This window comes from Homo sapiens, chromosome 10, assembly GCF_000001405.40.
Source record: "Homo sapiens chromosome 10, GRCh38.p14 Primary Assembly".
Taxonomy (NCBI): Eukaryota; Metazoa; Chordata; class Mammalia; order Primates; family Hominidae; genus Homo; species Homo sapiens.
Window position 1 is genome coordinate 53,355,134 of NC_000010.11, and position 15,846 is coordinate 53,370,979.

Sequence of the window (15,846 nt, forward strand, 5' to 3'; positions counted from 1 at the left end):
AAATGAGAGAGAATATTTGCAAATTATTCATCCTACAGAATATACAAGGAACTCAAACAACTCAACAGCAACACCAAAACAGATAGTTGCATTAAAAAGTGAGCAAAGGACATGAATAGACACTTTTCAAAAGAAGAAATACAAATGGCCAACAGATACATGAAAAAATTTTTCAGCATCACTAATCATCAGAGAAATGCAAATTAAAACTACAATGAGGTATCATCTCACTCCAGTCAGAACAGCTATTATTAAAAGGACAAAAAATAGCAGATGTTTACAGGAATGGGGAGAAAGGGGAACTCTTACACACCGTTGGTGGGAATGTAAATTAGTAAAACCTCTATGGAAAATGGTATGAAGATTTCTTAAAGATCTTAGAACTACCATTCAATCCAGCAATTCTCCTATGAGGTATCTACCCAAAGGGAAAGATATTATATCAAAAGGATACCTTCACTCATACGTTTTTCACAGCATTATTCACAATACCAAAGATACAAAATCAAACTGTTTGTCACCAGATGAATGGATAAAGAAAATATGGTATATTTACACAATGGATACTATTCAGCCATAAAAAAAGAATGAAATTGGCCAGGCGCGGTGGCTCAACGCCTGTAATCCCAGCACTTTGGGAGGCCGAGGCTGGTGGATCACGAGGTCAGGAGATCAAGACCAGCCTGGTTAACACGGTGAAACCCCGTTTCTACTAAAAATACAACAATTAGCCGGGCATGATGGCGGGCGCCTATAGTCCCAGCTACTTGGGAGGCTGAGGCAGGAGAATGGCATGAACCCGGGAGGCGGAGCTTGCAGTGAGCCGAGTTTGCGCCACTGCACTCCAGCCTGGGCGACAGAGAGAGACTCTGTCTCAAAAAAAAAAAAAAAAAACAAAAACAAAGAATGAAATCATGTCTTTTTCAGCAACATGGATGGAACAGAAGGCCATTATCTTAAGTGAAACAAGTCAGGCACAAAAAGTCAAGTATCACGTGTTTTCACTCAAAGTAAGTGCTAAAGAAAAATGTGCGCATATGGATCTAGAGAGCAGAATGATAGGGGAGACTTGGAAGGATGAGGATTGCAAGGGAGGTAGATAATGTTAAATTAGTTTATGGGTACAATGAATACGTTATGGGTTCAATGAATACCCTGAAATCCTTGACTAGGCTACTATACAACCAATGCATGTAACAAAATTGCACATGTGCCCTATAAATTTGTACAAATAAAAAAATGCATAAGGTGTTTGTGAGAATAAAATAATGCACAAAAAGCACTTAGATGAAAGTACTCAGTGAATATAACTTATTATCATTTCTACCGTATTTCTACCATTGATTCTAAAATTTGGATAAATCTTAGTGCAGTGAGGAAGCATTAAATCTTATATTATTCATCAAGGTTCTTCAGAGAAACCATGTGTGTATTTGTGTGTGTGTGTACATATATGCATGGCTGTATGTGTATGCACATAAGAGCAATAAATTTATTTTAAGAAATTACTGTTTCTTCCTCAGGGTACTTCAGTCTTTTTCTCTTAAATACTTCAACCGATTGGGTAAAGTCCACCCATATTATGGAGGGTAATTAGCTTTACTGAAAGTCTATTGATTTAAATGTTAGTCACATCTAAAAACTATATCTTCACAGCAACGTCTACACTGGCGTATGGCCAAGGACTGGCTAATGCAGCCCAGCCAAGATGACACATAAAATAAACCATCACACCTAATTTGTGTGTGTGTGTGTGTGTGTGTGTGTGTGTGTGTTTAGTGGTTTTAGTATAGAAGAAATATGGTATTATTGAATCTGGATGCAACTATCTCCCTTTTTTGAAAAGTTCACTTTCCTGGGGCTATATTAAAGTGATATTGAAATGAAGATATTCTCTGACAACACTGGGTACATTTTTTAAATGTATTTTTTTAAGACAGACTAACAAAAACCCTAACAATTATTATGTAATGTGTGGGTTTTCTAATGAAAAAAATAGCAGAGATCACATCCTTAATAACTTGAGTGAGAGTCATTGTAAACAGAGATGATTCAATAGAGGTGCAGCTCAGAGGGTTCTGGTTGCTTCCAAGAATCAGAATCTGCCATAATTTCAGAAATACTGGGAAGCTTAATATGGAAGAAAATGATTCCCAAAGCTGCACATAAGTATTTGGGAAAAAGAATAAACCATCATTGGTTTTGGAAGGAGATGAATGGCTTTTTCAGAACAAGGTAACCAAGATTTCTTTGAAATGCATTAATTTAAAATGGAAAAAAATAAAACATTTGTCTTATTTTAATAACTTTTTTTCCCCCGAGAATATTGAGAATGAGAAAATGCCATTCCACAGATTTTAGATCTACTGAGACCAAGATTTTATCCGAAGTAATTGATTTGAGAGGTGATTCCAGGAAGCACCATTGGAGGAGTGAACAATTTCAGAAGAGCCTGTGAAGAATGAACTGATAAGCACATTACTACAATAGGCAGCCAGGGCTGAGCCTTGCTGTTGAAACTTTGGGAAATAGCATAGAATAGGTCTTAGAATTACAACAATTAATGTTTGTCAGTGATTGAGGAGTGCTTCTGATGGCACCAAACCCTGCCCTCCCAAATAGGCATTCTGGTTTGTGCAAGTGCTGTATGCACCTCAAAACTGAGAAAGCCTTCAGGCCATCATTTCTGGAATTGCTCATCTATGGTTATTGATGTGTATGAAAGTAACTAGAATCACCATAGCAAATTCTTTGCATACCAGACACACTCTGCCATAGTCTCCTTTTTTAGGAGTACTCTAATTAAGATAATTAGAGTCATCCTTGTTTTCTTACCAGTCTGCCAGCCTGAGGAATCTGCCAAAATAAAGTGGCAGCATATTCTTAGGTTTAATAAAACCTTTACTATGTTCCCTCATAGAAGCATCCCCACCCCCAACTTATCTCCCTGTGGGGACTAAAACTTCTCAGTCTGCAGAGGCTAAAGTTGTTAGAACAGAAAAAAATAAAATAAAACTTTTCCAAATAAATCACTGACAATGCTAGGGAGTGGTGCCTCTTAGATTCTCCTCCTTTATTTCCAGACCCATTTTGTTTGTAGCTATCTGGGACAATTAACTATATAATGGCCATTGGTTCAAAGTATGTTCCACAACTTGAAGGCATCATCCCAGATTTGCTCACGGGTCTTCCCCTAACTGGTACTTAAATTGTACCTTAAAAGTACCATTCCAGTTAGGCCATTAGCTTCTGAGGGTTGCAGTATTTGATAGGACCAGTAAATCTTACGGAGAAGTGCTCAGCACTTTGCCTTCCTGATTGTAAATTGTGCTTGGTCTAAGCATTTGAATGAGGAATCCCATGTTGGTATATCATTCTGTGAGTTCTTGGCTTAAAGTACTGGCCAAGACATAGTGAGCATGAAAGAAACACTCATAATTGAAGTGTATATTCAATTTCAGCTTATCGCTTTGTGCCATTGAATATTCACTTGATGACTTTTTCTAGCCAGTAGTACATGGCAGAAGAAACATTGTGCTAACACTGCCGCAGCTTGTTATTTGCCATTTGGCCAGGAATGTGAGTGAGGCTACCTAAGACCAATCCTTATCAGCTAGCCTCTCATCTTACCCCAGAGGCATAAGTAAGTCTGATATCAACCAAACTTAATCCAGATCTTTCATGCGTGTCCCTGTGAAGAGACCACCAAACAGGCTTTGAGTGAGCAATAAAGCTTTTAATCACCTGGGTGCAGGTGGGCTGAGTCCGAAAAGAGAGTCAGTGAAGGGAGATAAGGGTGGGGCCATTTTATAGGATTTGGGTAGGTAAAGGAAAATTACAGTCAAAGGGGGTTTGTTCTCTGGCGGGCAGGAGTGGGGGTCGCAAGGTGCTCAGTGGGGGTGCTTTTTGAGCCAGGATGAGCGAGGAAAAAGACTTTCACAAGGTAATGTCATCACTTAAGGCAAGGACTGGCCATTTACACTTCTTTTGTGGTAGAATGTCATCAGTTAAAGTGGGGCAGGGCATATTCACTTCTTTTGTGATTCTTCAGTTACTTCAGGCCATCTGGGCTGGGTGTATACATGCAAGTCACAGGGGATGAGATGGCTTGGCTTGGGCTCAGAGGCCTGACAAGATCAGCAGAAGCATCCTGTTGACTACAGAGCAATAATAAATGGGCGTTGTTTCAAGTCACTAAATTTTGGGATAGCTTTTTGAATAGCTTGTTATGGAGCAAAAGGCAAATAATATAAGTGAGGACCACAAGCCTGGTATCATAAAATAATTGTTGTTTATCTCAAATTTAAATTTAATGGGATGTATGCATTTTATATCTGGTACCTCTAGTTCTGAGACAAAGTAATTTTGACAAAGTTATTCCCACACATCAGATAAATAACAGACATTTGTAACTAGAAGGTGTTGTGTGATAGAAGACCTGGGTCTCTCTGTGTTATCTAAATCATGGGGAAAGAATAAGGACTAAGTAATGTTTGGATTACTTCTATTTATTTTTTTTTAATCTTATCATCTTCTTCACTTGTTTCAGTTTGAAGTCACCCTCTCATCCCACACACCAGAATTAAACTATAGTCCACAATTGAAAATTATAAAGACTGGACGTAAATGATTTTTATATAAAACATTTATTTTAAATTTATTTTTAATTTTTAAACGTTTGTGGGTGCATGGTAGGTGTCTATATTTATAGGATACACAAGGTGTTTTGATACACACATGCAATGTGAAATAAGCACATCATGAAGAATGGGGCATTCATTCCTTCAAGCATTTATCCTTTGAGTTACAAAGAATCCAGTTACACTCTAAGTTGTTTTAAAATGTACAATTAAGTTATTATTGACTATTGTCACCCTCCTTTGCTATCAAATAGTAGGTCTTATTCATTCTTTCTATTTTTTATACCCGTTAACCATCCCCACCTCCCTCCCAATCCCCTACTACCCTTCCCAGCCTCTGGTAACCATCCTTTTACTCTCTTTCCATAAGTTCAATTGGTTTGGTTTTTAGATCCCACAAATAAGTGAGAACATGTGATGTTTGTCTTTCTGTGCCTGGCTTATTTCACTTAACATAATGATCTCCAGTTCCATCCATGTTGTTGCAAATAACTGTATCATATTCTTTTTACAACTGGATACTACTCCATTGTATAAATGTACCACATTTTCTTTATCCATTCATCTGTTGATAAACTCTTAGGTTACTTCCAAATCTTAGGTATTGTAATCAGTGCTGCAACAAACATAAAAGTGCAGCTCACGTATGTTTATTGCGGCACTATTCACAATAGCAAAGCCTTGGAACCAACCCAAATGTCCGTCAATGATAGACTGAATCACCAAAATGTGGCACATATACACCATGGAATACTATGCAGCCATAAAAAGGATGAGTTCATGTCCTTTGTAGGGACATGGATAAAGCTAGAAACCATCATTCTGCGCAAACTATCACAAGGACAGAAAACCAATCACCGCATGTTCTCACTCATAGGTGTGAATTGAACAATGAGAACACATGGACACAGGAAGGGGAACATCACACACTAGGGCCTGTTGTGGGGTGGGGGGAGGGGGGAGGGATAACATTAGGAGATATACCTAATGTAAATGATGAGTTAATGGGTGCAGCACACCAACATGGCACATGTACACATATGTAACCTGCACGTTGTGCACATGTACCCTACAACTTGAAGTATAGGAATAAAAAAAAAGAGTGCATCTATCTCTTCAATATACTGATTTACTTTCTTTTGGGTATATACTCCTCAGTGGGATTGCTGCATCATATAATAGCTCAATTTTTTAGGTTTTTGAGCAACCTCCAAACTGTTCTCCATAGTGATTACACTAATTTACATTCCCACCAACAGTGTACAAGGGTTCCCATTTCTCCACATCCTCACCAGCATTTGTTATTACCTGTCTTTTGAATAAAGGCCATTTTAACTGTGGTGAGATATCTCACTGTAGTTTTGATTTGCATTTCTTTGATGATCAATGATGTCGAGCACCTTTTCATATGTCCATTGGCCATTTGCATGTCTTTTTTTAAGAAGGATCTATTCAAATATTTTGCTGATTTTTTCTATCAAATTGTTATTTTTTTCTTATAGAGTTATTTGAGCTTCTTGTATATTCTGGTTATTAATCCTTTGTCAGATGCGTAGTTTGCAAATATTTTCTCTCATTCTGTGGGTTGTCTCTTTACTTTGTTGATTGTATTCTTTGCTGTGCAGAAGCCTTTTTACCTGATGTGATCCCATTTGTACATTTTTTGTTTTGATTGCCTGTGCTGTGGGGTGTTGCTCAATAAATTCTTGCCCAGACCAAAGTCCTGGAGTTTTCCCAGGACAGTCTGTTTTCTTGTAGTAGTTTCTACTTTGAGGTGTTAGATTGAACTCTTTAGTCCATTTTGATTTGATTTTTTAATATGGTGAGAGAGAGGCATCTAGTCTCATTATTCTGCATTTGGATATCCATTTGCTCCAGCACCATTTGACATAAATGGTTTCTTAACAGTCTTGTGCAAATTCAGCCATTTAATATTTTTGTTGAAAATCACAACACTGGCCATTGCAATTGGATGATATATAAATATTAGTTAATTCATGAAAATCGCTATTTATCTACTTCTGCGTGCCAAGAACTACACTAAGTAACATGTATCATTTCATATTATTTAACAACTCCAACATTGTAAAGTATTAAATCCATTCCATATACAAAGATAATAGATTCCACCAGGATTAAGTGGTCTTTCCAAGGCTGGGCACAGGGGTTCATGTCTGTGATCCCAACACTTTGGGAGGCTGAGGCAGGATGATCACTTGAGCCCAGGAGTGTGAGACCAGCCCGGGCAAAAAAGTGAGACTCTGTCTCTACAAAAAGTAAAAAAATTATCCAAGTGTAGTGGAATGTAACTGTAGTCCAGCTACTGAGGAGACTGAAGCAGAAGGATTGCTTAAGACCAGGATCTCAAAGCTGCAGTGAGCCATGATTGTGCCACTTTACACCACACTCCAGCCTGGGCTGGATAGAGTGAGACCCTGTCTCAAAAAAAGAAAAAAAAAGTGTCGTTTCCAAGATCTTAGAGTTAGTGAGTGGTAGAGTAGAATTAAAATGTAACAACAGAACTTCCTTTGACTCCAATACCCCTCCCCCTGCCTGAGTGGTTCCACTGAAATTTAATACAGGAGGTGCAAACACAATTGCTTAGATGTGCCTTTTCAATGATATTTTTGAAAAACTGAATATTCAATAATTTTTTGAGAACATTAACTGGGCCTCTAACAGCAAAAAAATATGACTTTCCTAACAATTTCCTTGACTTGTTTTTTTTTTTTTTTTGTTTTGAGGGAAAGTGCATTTTTTTTCTTGTACTCTATTGAATTCACTTATCTCCTTTGCTGCTGAGAGAACCAACGTGATCACTCTCAGAATTTTTTTCCCTGGAAAAAAATTGTTTGTCTTTACTTGCAACCTTTTATCTTATCCAAGACTTATCCAATTCCTTACTGTCTATATTTTCTTTTGGCATCTATACGATGGGTATAAAAATATTGTCAGCTGGAAGCAGTGGCTGGCCGGGCGCGGTGGCTCACGCCTGTAATCCCCACACTTTGGGAGGGCAAGGTGGGTGGATCACCTGACTCAGGGGTTCAACAGAACTAGAATAAGATGAGTTAAGGAAGAAACCATGCTCCATGTGCTATGTATCTTATTTTCTTGAATATACATAAATGAAGCAAAATACACATAAAGTTGCAGGTGATCGCTGTTGATGTAGCAAATGCATCACTGAATCATTACCATTATTTAAACTGTAATAATTCAGGACTAATTCTGACAAACAGAGGGTAGTTTTTTTCATTTGTTAAAATGATTTTAACCATGGCATCAGTGTACACATAGTTTACCATTTACACAGCCAGGCTTCTTTGAAATTATAGGGAGCATTATAATTATTTTAGGAATGTGGTGTCAGTGAAGAATTTAAATCATATAAAACTTTGTACATAAAGTAAAATTGTATCAATATGTTGTATCAGACTATTTTAAAATAACACAATTTGCTAGGCATAAAAGTCAGCCATTCTGATGGACTGGTTAAATCCCAACGATTTTGTAGAGGCCGACTTCATTGTAGTCACCACTTATTAAATACAAGCACCAAGAGTAAGGTAAATTGACCTTAAATCTCATTTTTAAAGCAGCAGGTTATTCTTAATACAATTATTGTTAGTAATAATTATGAATTATTGCTTAACTCTGGAACTTACATAAATTTGGTGTATAAGGAATGGATTCATCCAACTCTCAAATGATCTGCTAATGGCAGCATTAGGCAGTCAGTTTGATTAATTTTTTAAATGAATATACTTAAATATAAACTAATGTTTCTTGTGACCACTAGCTGACACTTAGGCCCTCAAAGAGTGGAAAAGCTGTTGGGAGTCATTTAATCCCCAAATCTCTGATGTAACTAATTTAGGAAGAAGGAAATGATCTAACTCTACATTACCAATGCTCTTTGACAAGCATCATAGGAAACAGAAACATGAAAAATTTTCAATAACATCTTCCTTTACTTCAAAATCTAGGCCTTTCTGAGACAGACTTTAAAAGAGTTATGATATTTACCATAGGTCCAATCAAAGTAAAACATGAAGAGAATATTACAATCAGATTATTTGGTCACAGCTATCTCAGCCAAGGTCCAGGGTCCACAAGAGTGTGTGGAAGCTGAGCTTGGTGCATAAAGATGACATTATTCATTCATAGTTTATAATTATGACAGAGATGACTATATTAATGTTAACAGCAACTACTTTTAAATAAGTGTTCAATGTATATGAGACATTGTGATAATGCCTTTAGTTCAGGTAGAGAACATTGTGATAAGTGCTTATCTTTAGTTCAAATCAGTAGTTATTATTGTTCCCACTGAAAGATAGGAAAGATTAGAGCTGCAGAGACCAATTTGCCTAAGGTCATTGATAAAAATGGTTAAATCCTGAGTTTGTACAGAAATCTGGAAAGCTATAGTCTTATTTTGCCTATCTTTATTTCTATCATATACATAATAAAAATATTCAAATAAGTCTATTTTTGATAAAATTCAGGGAATGAAAAAGAACAACAGATATTTCAAATTAAAAATTATGAGTTTATTTTCATGTTATGTCACTGGCTAATAATATGACATTGGACAAGAAACTGACTCTCTGGGGCTCATTTTCATCATATGTCAAAGGATGCAATAATACATTAAAATTTTGATACTATGCATGTAAATATGTAATAGCATCAGAATGATCATCAGCATCACTTATTCTTCTTCTATTACCTTCTTCCTTCTTTTATAACATTATAATATTTATCAATGCTTTAAGTTAAATCCTATTATTCTCTTAAACTTATTATAAATACTAGATTCTCTCTGATCATGCCCAAAAAAGGTCTCAATTTTTTGCATTATCACTACTGGTATGTGGCTTAATTTTCCCATAATATGACTTTCTTAAAAGCAAGTTGTGACATCAACAACCTAACATCCAAATTAAAGATTGATTACTTTTAACTTGTTACAATGAGATTAACATATAGACCAAATATATTAAATAAAAGGCTGTCGAGATCTTACATTTTTCTTCTTTCCAATGTTCTGCCGTTTCTAATGATCTGATTTGTAGCACCTAGGCAGAGTGAAGAAAGGACTGTTTGTTCTGATATGAAGGGCCATAAACTAGTGATTTCATTTCCGGTTTTTGTTGTTAGGGAAAATTTTGGCCATTTCTGCAGACATGAAAGGTTGATACTCAAAACATCAGCTTACTTTTCTTTTCTTGTCATTCTATACTGTAAGACAATTGCTGTTGAATAAGAAAGATCGGAAAATGTTTGGAAGTCACCTGCCATGGCAGCTTTGATATGCAACACCAGTAGCATGACAGGAAATTGGGAGATAGCATTAAAGCATTATCTACAAGACAGAAAAGGTTTAGAGGAACTATGACATCTACATCTGTTCCTTATTATTTTTTGAGCCTTCTCTTAGTGTCTATTTTCCATGTGAGTCAATATTTGAAAAGCCTTTGCAGAGAAGCACAAATAAACTTTGTATTCTCTTAAATTCATAAATCCTACCATGTAATTTGCACTATAATATTTTTTACTTCAATTATCCATCTGTATTGTGTTAGGCAAGATAATGGTCCACCAAATATGCCTGAATCTTAATCCTCAGAAGTTGTGAATCTCTTACTTTACATGAGTAAAGGGATTTTGCTAATATGATTAAGTTCAGAATATTGAGTTGTGGAGATTAATGGGGATTATCAAGTTGTGCCCAATGTAATCACAATGTTTTTGTAAGGGAAAAAAAAAGAGAAATGAGAGAGTCATCCAGGGAAGAAATGAGAAGATAAAACAGGTTGGAGTGATGCAGGACCATAAACAAAGGAATGAGAGCAGCCTATAGAATTGGAAAAGACAAGAAAATGAATTTTTCTCTAGTGCCTCCAGAAGGAATGGAACCCATTTTATTTAGTCTTCTTACCCACAGAGTTGAGTGATAGTAAATGTGTGTTGTTTTAAACTACTAAGTGTGTGGTAATTTTCTATAGCAATAATAAGGAAGTTGTTAGCTGGAATAAAATACTGCTGTACCAAATACCTAAAAATATGGAGTTGGCTACAGAATTGACAATGGGCAGAGGACAGAAGAATTTTGAGAAGCAGAATGGGAATGGTCTATATGATTTATGTATAAATCTATGTAAATATATGAACTAATGTGTGTGTGTATATGTATATATTCCCATTTAGGTCAGAAGATGTTCCAGATTTTGTTTTCTCTTTTTTATTTACTGAAATTACCTGTATGAACACGTATGTTACCAACAACTGCGGTGCTGAAAGTGTGCCTGACAGGTTTATAAGAATTTTACACATATATATGTTATATATACATAGACAGTCCCAACTTACAGTAGTTTGACTTATAATTTTTTGGCTTTATGATGGGTTTATCGAGATGTAACCCTATCATAAGTCTAGGAGCATCTGGATTTACTTTTTACCTTTGGTGGATTTAGCAGGATGTAATCCCATTGTAAGTTGAAGAGCATCTCTATCTCTACCTGTGTGTGTGTACATATACATATGTTACATTTATTCTTTACTCTATTATATAATGACAACCAAATTCCTGTTTCTCATGAGAAAACTGGAGACTTAAATAAAGTAATGTCTTCTAAATGGCATAACATAACCAGTAAGAACTGTTGCCAGAACGTGAACCCCGATTTTGTTGCTTGCAGAGCCCACAATATTAACTGCCATGCTATACCGCTGTTAATCACTCTGCTTAATAAATACATCTCAATTTTAGTTGATTATTACGAGTAATATGTGACCTATGAAAATTTTAAACCTCTGCTTTTAGATTACCTACTTCAAGAATACATAAGTATATCACATCAACTGGCACTGATTTTTATTTCAAGCTTATCGAACATCTGAGTGATATATTACAGGTATCTTCTTGAGTCCCCTTCTGTATATACACACAAACACATAAAAAACATTTTATTTAACAATTCTAGAAAATAATTTTTTAAATAGAAACAGTTCACATATTTAAAGGTTGTCTCTGATCATGACTCTGAAGATAAGGAGTCACAGAAAAGTGCTTATGAACAATCAAACTAATTTTCACAGTTTTAAATTTCTACCATTGATTTTTGAATGTGAGCCTGAGGATCAATATCATGCAATTACTAGCTATGTGGCTGAGACGCAAAAACCATATTTTAAGGCAAATATGTGAAGGGAAGTGGCAGAATTTGTAAGCGAGTCCAACTGCTGCCCGCATCTGTAGCTTAGAATGTTTTTCTTAAGTTACATATAGACATTATGCTATATAAATAATTTATTCTATTGAAGGTCATAATTCATTATCAGATAAAGCAAATAATAGGATTATTAACATTCATTCATATTAAGATACATAGGGGAGGCAGAATTTTACCTTTATGCTTTAGTTTAGTTTTTCCCAGCTAGGCCTGATAATTAAATTGACATAGACAGATCAACAAGAGAAAGATATACAAATGTATTTAATGTAAGCTTTACCTGGCACAAGAAACTTCATAAGGAAATGAAGAGTTCAAAGGCAGACAGCTGAAAACTTATACACTGAATTGGACAACAAATAGTGAGTTGTGAAAAAGAAACTAAATTATATGATGAGGCTTAAATAATGAGTTATTTCAACAAGGTCTACACAGAATTCTCTTGGTCTCAACTTCTTCATATTAAGAATGTTGCTTTCCTCCTAATATAGGGAGGGCATCTTTCATATAGGGAGTTTCATCTCCTGCTTTTAAGAAACAGCAGTAAGGTCAGAGGGATCTTGTACCTGCTGTTTCTCAAGTGCTTTAACTCAAAATTGTCAATATGCCAGAATGGGGTATTTTTTAATTCTTCAGATCTGGATTAAGATGTATTTCCTGAAAAAACCAAGGATCAACTATAATGTATTTTCCATTGAAAATAGTTCAGAAAATGTTAATATTTTTAAAAGTTAATTTCATCAGTGGAATAAATTATTATCCAGGAAAAGACTTTTAGTAAGTGGAGTATATCTTTAGATAGTCATTAATAGATAATAAAATTGGAAATGCATTACTACTTCTTTTTTACACTGACCCTTAAAATTAATGGATTAGGAAAATCCCTGAAACCAAAAATTAGAGGCAGAGAAAAACCTGACAAATCTAAAATAAACATATGTACAATAGAACCAATTGTAGAGTGGAGTTAGATTTACCTTTTTTGAAGAATTATGAGGATATCTATGAATGCTGCAAGAAATCTGGTGTCCAGAAGCATGTTTCCTTTTGTTAAGTTTAAAACTCTCCTTGACAGCAGCTGACTGCAAATGATTCCAGGAGGTGGATAATAGCAATGAGTTAACTTAGCCTGGAAATCTTCCTATAGATAGCCACTTTCATTGTTCATATTCTATGTCACCCCCACCCCCAGCGTATGACAGAAAAAATTATTTCAGGGACAGACCATTTTATTGAATTCAATCCAAATGCAATATAAACAGACATAATTTCCCATAAGCATATTCTCTCAGTCAGGTGATGGTGTTAAAATTTATCTCTGAGGGTAATGACTGGCTATTTCAAATGCTGATATCTTCCCTCTGTGAGCGATAAAATTTTTTGATATCTAACAATGTACATTTAGACTGTGCTTTTTTCTTGAAGTGTTAATTTGTTCCAGTTTCAGTGCTGTTTTGCAAAATTAGCCAAGATATTTGTGTGTGTGTGTTTGTGTGTGTGTGTGTGTAAGTGTGTGTGTTTTACTTGCAAGCAAGACAAAACTACCTTAGGTTCGTGATGCTTTCTATAATTTCAGGCCTGAGAGGAAGTGTGATATAATAGAAGAAATGCAGAAAAAGAAGTTAGGAAGTTAGAAGATCTGGAATCCAGGCCAGGCTCAATGTGTGACATATTGTTCTCCATCCCCCTCATTATACACACCTCTCTTTACCAACTGGGGACTTTGGTTTTACATCTGTAAAATATAGTTTTGGACCTGAAGGTCCATTTTAGATCAAACATCTGAGTTCTATTAACAAACAGACACTGTGAGTACAGAATATCATACATGTCCTTCATATTTCCTCGGGCTCTTTCTGGAATATGCGCAAATTACCTGCTGTGTATATTCTTTGTGAATGTAATACACACTATCCATCGGCAGTACTGGCAACTACACTTGCAGATACATAGAAACTAATGGTACTTACAAACTAACAGTTAACCTGTCCTTCTTTACTATATTTTATCTCCTATAAAATGAGCCACACTCTCTTAATTTTCTGTGCCGTGACTTCAAGCAAAAGCAAATTTTAATTAAGAAAACTGCCCATAGATATAAAAATGTCCTTCTTGATCTTAGGTACTGACTGATCTTAGCAGCTCATCAATAAGAATCATAAGCTCTAACAAAGTTGTGTCTCACTCTTCTATATCTCCAAAAATTTATCTCAACCTATTTGCCTTGAAAGTGCTCTGCACATACATGTTGCTCAATAAATTTTCATTTTTCTGTTGATTGGTTGATAATTTTAGTAATGATAATTCTTTGATATTAGTAATAATAATAAAGTAATGCTTGATACTTGGAGGATTCTAACGTCCTCCAGTAGAGAACTATTTGGAAATGCTATATGAGTTTAATCCTAAAGTACAAAGAAATCAAAATTGACCTTGTCATTTGTTAACTCTGTCAGCTTCTCCACTCTTATATTATGCTGTGTATAACACAGTTAATAAAGCAGAAGGTTGGAAATTGCAGCAATTTCTATACTACCTATAAAACAGAACTCCCAGCTTTCTGCCTGTGTTGAAGCATCAACTTTCTATCATTTCATCCTGTTAACAGTTAAATCAAACAATTCTACACAAGTGGAACAAGTAAAACAACTGCCTATCAGGATAACAGAGTGCAGGATATGAAAATACATAAACTATTTTTTAAACTGAATGCAAACTCTTACATTCAATAAAGACCATGGAATGGTCCAGTCTAGTATACTTTATAAGCATATAGCATATCTTAAATGTATGGAATACCAATTATTCAAAATCTGAAGCAACAAATCTTATATAAACTGACTTTTTTTTTTCTTATAAACTAGGCAGTAAGAATGTATTTTTTTATAATGATCTCCCAGAGGCCTATAATATCTTAAAGTGTGCTGGAAAATAAAAGAAGTAGAGTAGACTTTGTTTTGTTTCTAAATGAAATGACTTTCATTGAATGCTAAAGTTCTGGTAACTATCAAATTATGACTTATAACTAACTAGTAAATATTTATTGTGTTTCATAAAGAAAAAAATGTGCAAGGTCTTTTGAGAAATGCAAAGATAGAGTTGCTTCCATTATGGCTGAATAAGAACAGCTCTGGTCTGCAGCTCCCAGTGAGATTGATGCAGAAGATGGGTGATTTCTGCATTTCCAACTGAGGTACCTGGTTCATCTCATTGGGACTGGTTGGACACTGGGTGCAGCACACGGAGGGTGAGCTGAAGCAGGGCAGGGCATTGCCTCACCCGGGAAGTGCAAGAGGCTGGGGGATTTCCCTTTCCTAGCCAAGGGAAGCCGTGACAGACTGTACCTGGAGGAACATACACTGCAGCCCAAATACTGCACTTTTCCCACAGTCTTAGCAAAGGCAGACCAGGTGATTCCCTCCCATGCCTGGGTCCCATGCCCACAGAGCCTTGCTCACTGCTGGTGCAGCAGTCTGAGATCAACCTGCAAGGCTGCAGCCTGGCAGAGGGAAGGGCATCCGCCATTGCTGAAGCTTGAGTAGGTAAACAAAGTGGCCAGGAAGCTCAAACTGCACGGAGCCCACCACAGCTCAGCAAGGCCTACTGCCTCTGTAGACTTCACCTCTGTGGGCAGGGCATAGCTGAACAAAAGGCAGCAGACAACTTCTGCGACTTAAACATCCCTGTCTGACAGCTCTGAAGAGAGCAGGAGTTCTCCCAGTATGGTGTTTGAGCTCTGAGAACAGATAGACTGCCTCCTCAAGTGGGTCCCTGACCGCCGTGTAGCCTGACTGGGAGACAACTCCCATTAGGTGCTGACAAACACCTCATACAGGTGGGTGCCCCTCTGGGATGAAGCTTCCAGAGAAAGGATCAGGCAGCAATATTTGCTGTTCTGCAGCCTCTGCTGGTGATACCCAGGCAAACAGTGTCTGGAGTGGACCTCCAACAAACTCCAAAAG

General features: G+C 36.3%; 4 annotated features.

Annotated features, from left to right (window-relative positions):
- Positions 228-729: an enhancer, noted in NCBI's record as "H3K27ac hESC enhancer chr10:55115121-55115622 (GRCh37/hg19 assembly coordinates)". NCBI's record gives its function as "activates a minimal SCP1, AML or CMV promoter by ChIP-STARR-seq in naive H9 embryonic stem cells {active_cell/tissue: H9 hESC(naive)}" and the evidence as "EXISTENCE:reporter gene assay evidence [ECO:0000049][PMID:30033119]".
- Positions 730-1,229: an enhancer, noted in NCBI's record as "H3K27ac hESC enhancer chr10:55115623-55116122 (GRCh37/hg19 assembly coordinates)". NCBI's record gives its function as "activates a minimal SCP1, AML or CMV promoter by ChIP-STARR-seq in naive H9 embryonic stem cells {active_cell/tissue: H9 hESC(naive)}" and the evidence as "EXISTENCE:reporter gene assay evidence [ECO:0000049][PMID:30033119]".
- Positions 2,699-3,565: an enhancer, noted in NCBI's record as "OCT4-NANOG-H3K27ac hESC enhancer chr10:55117592-55118458 (GRCh37/hg19 assembly coordinates)". NCBI's record gives its function as "activates a minimal SCP1, AML or CMV promoter by ChIP-STARR-seq in naive H9 embryonic stem cells {active_cell/tissue: H9 hESC(naive)}" and the evidence as "EXISTENCE:reporter gene assay evidence [ECO:0000049][PMID:30033119]".
- Positions 3,566-4,431: an enhancer, noted in NCBI's record as "OCT4-NANOG-H3K27ac hESC enhancer chr10:55118459-55119324 (GRCh37/hg19 assembly coordinates)". NCBI's record gives its function as "activates a minimal SCP1, AML or CMV promoter by ChIP-STARR-seq in naive and primed H9 embryonic stem cells {active_cell/tissue: H9 hESC(naive and primed)}" and the evidence as "EXISTENCE:reporter gene assay evidence [ECO:0000049][PMID:30033119]".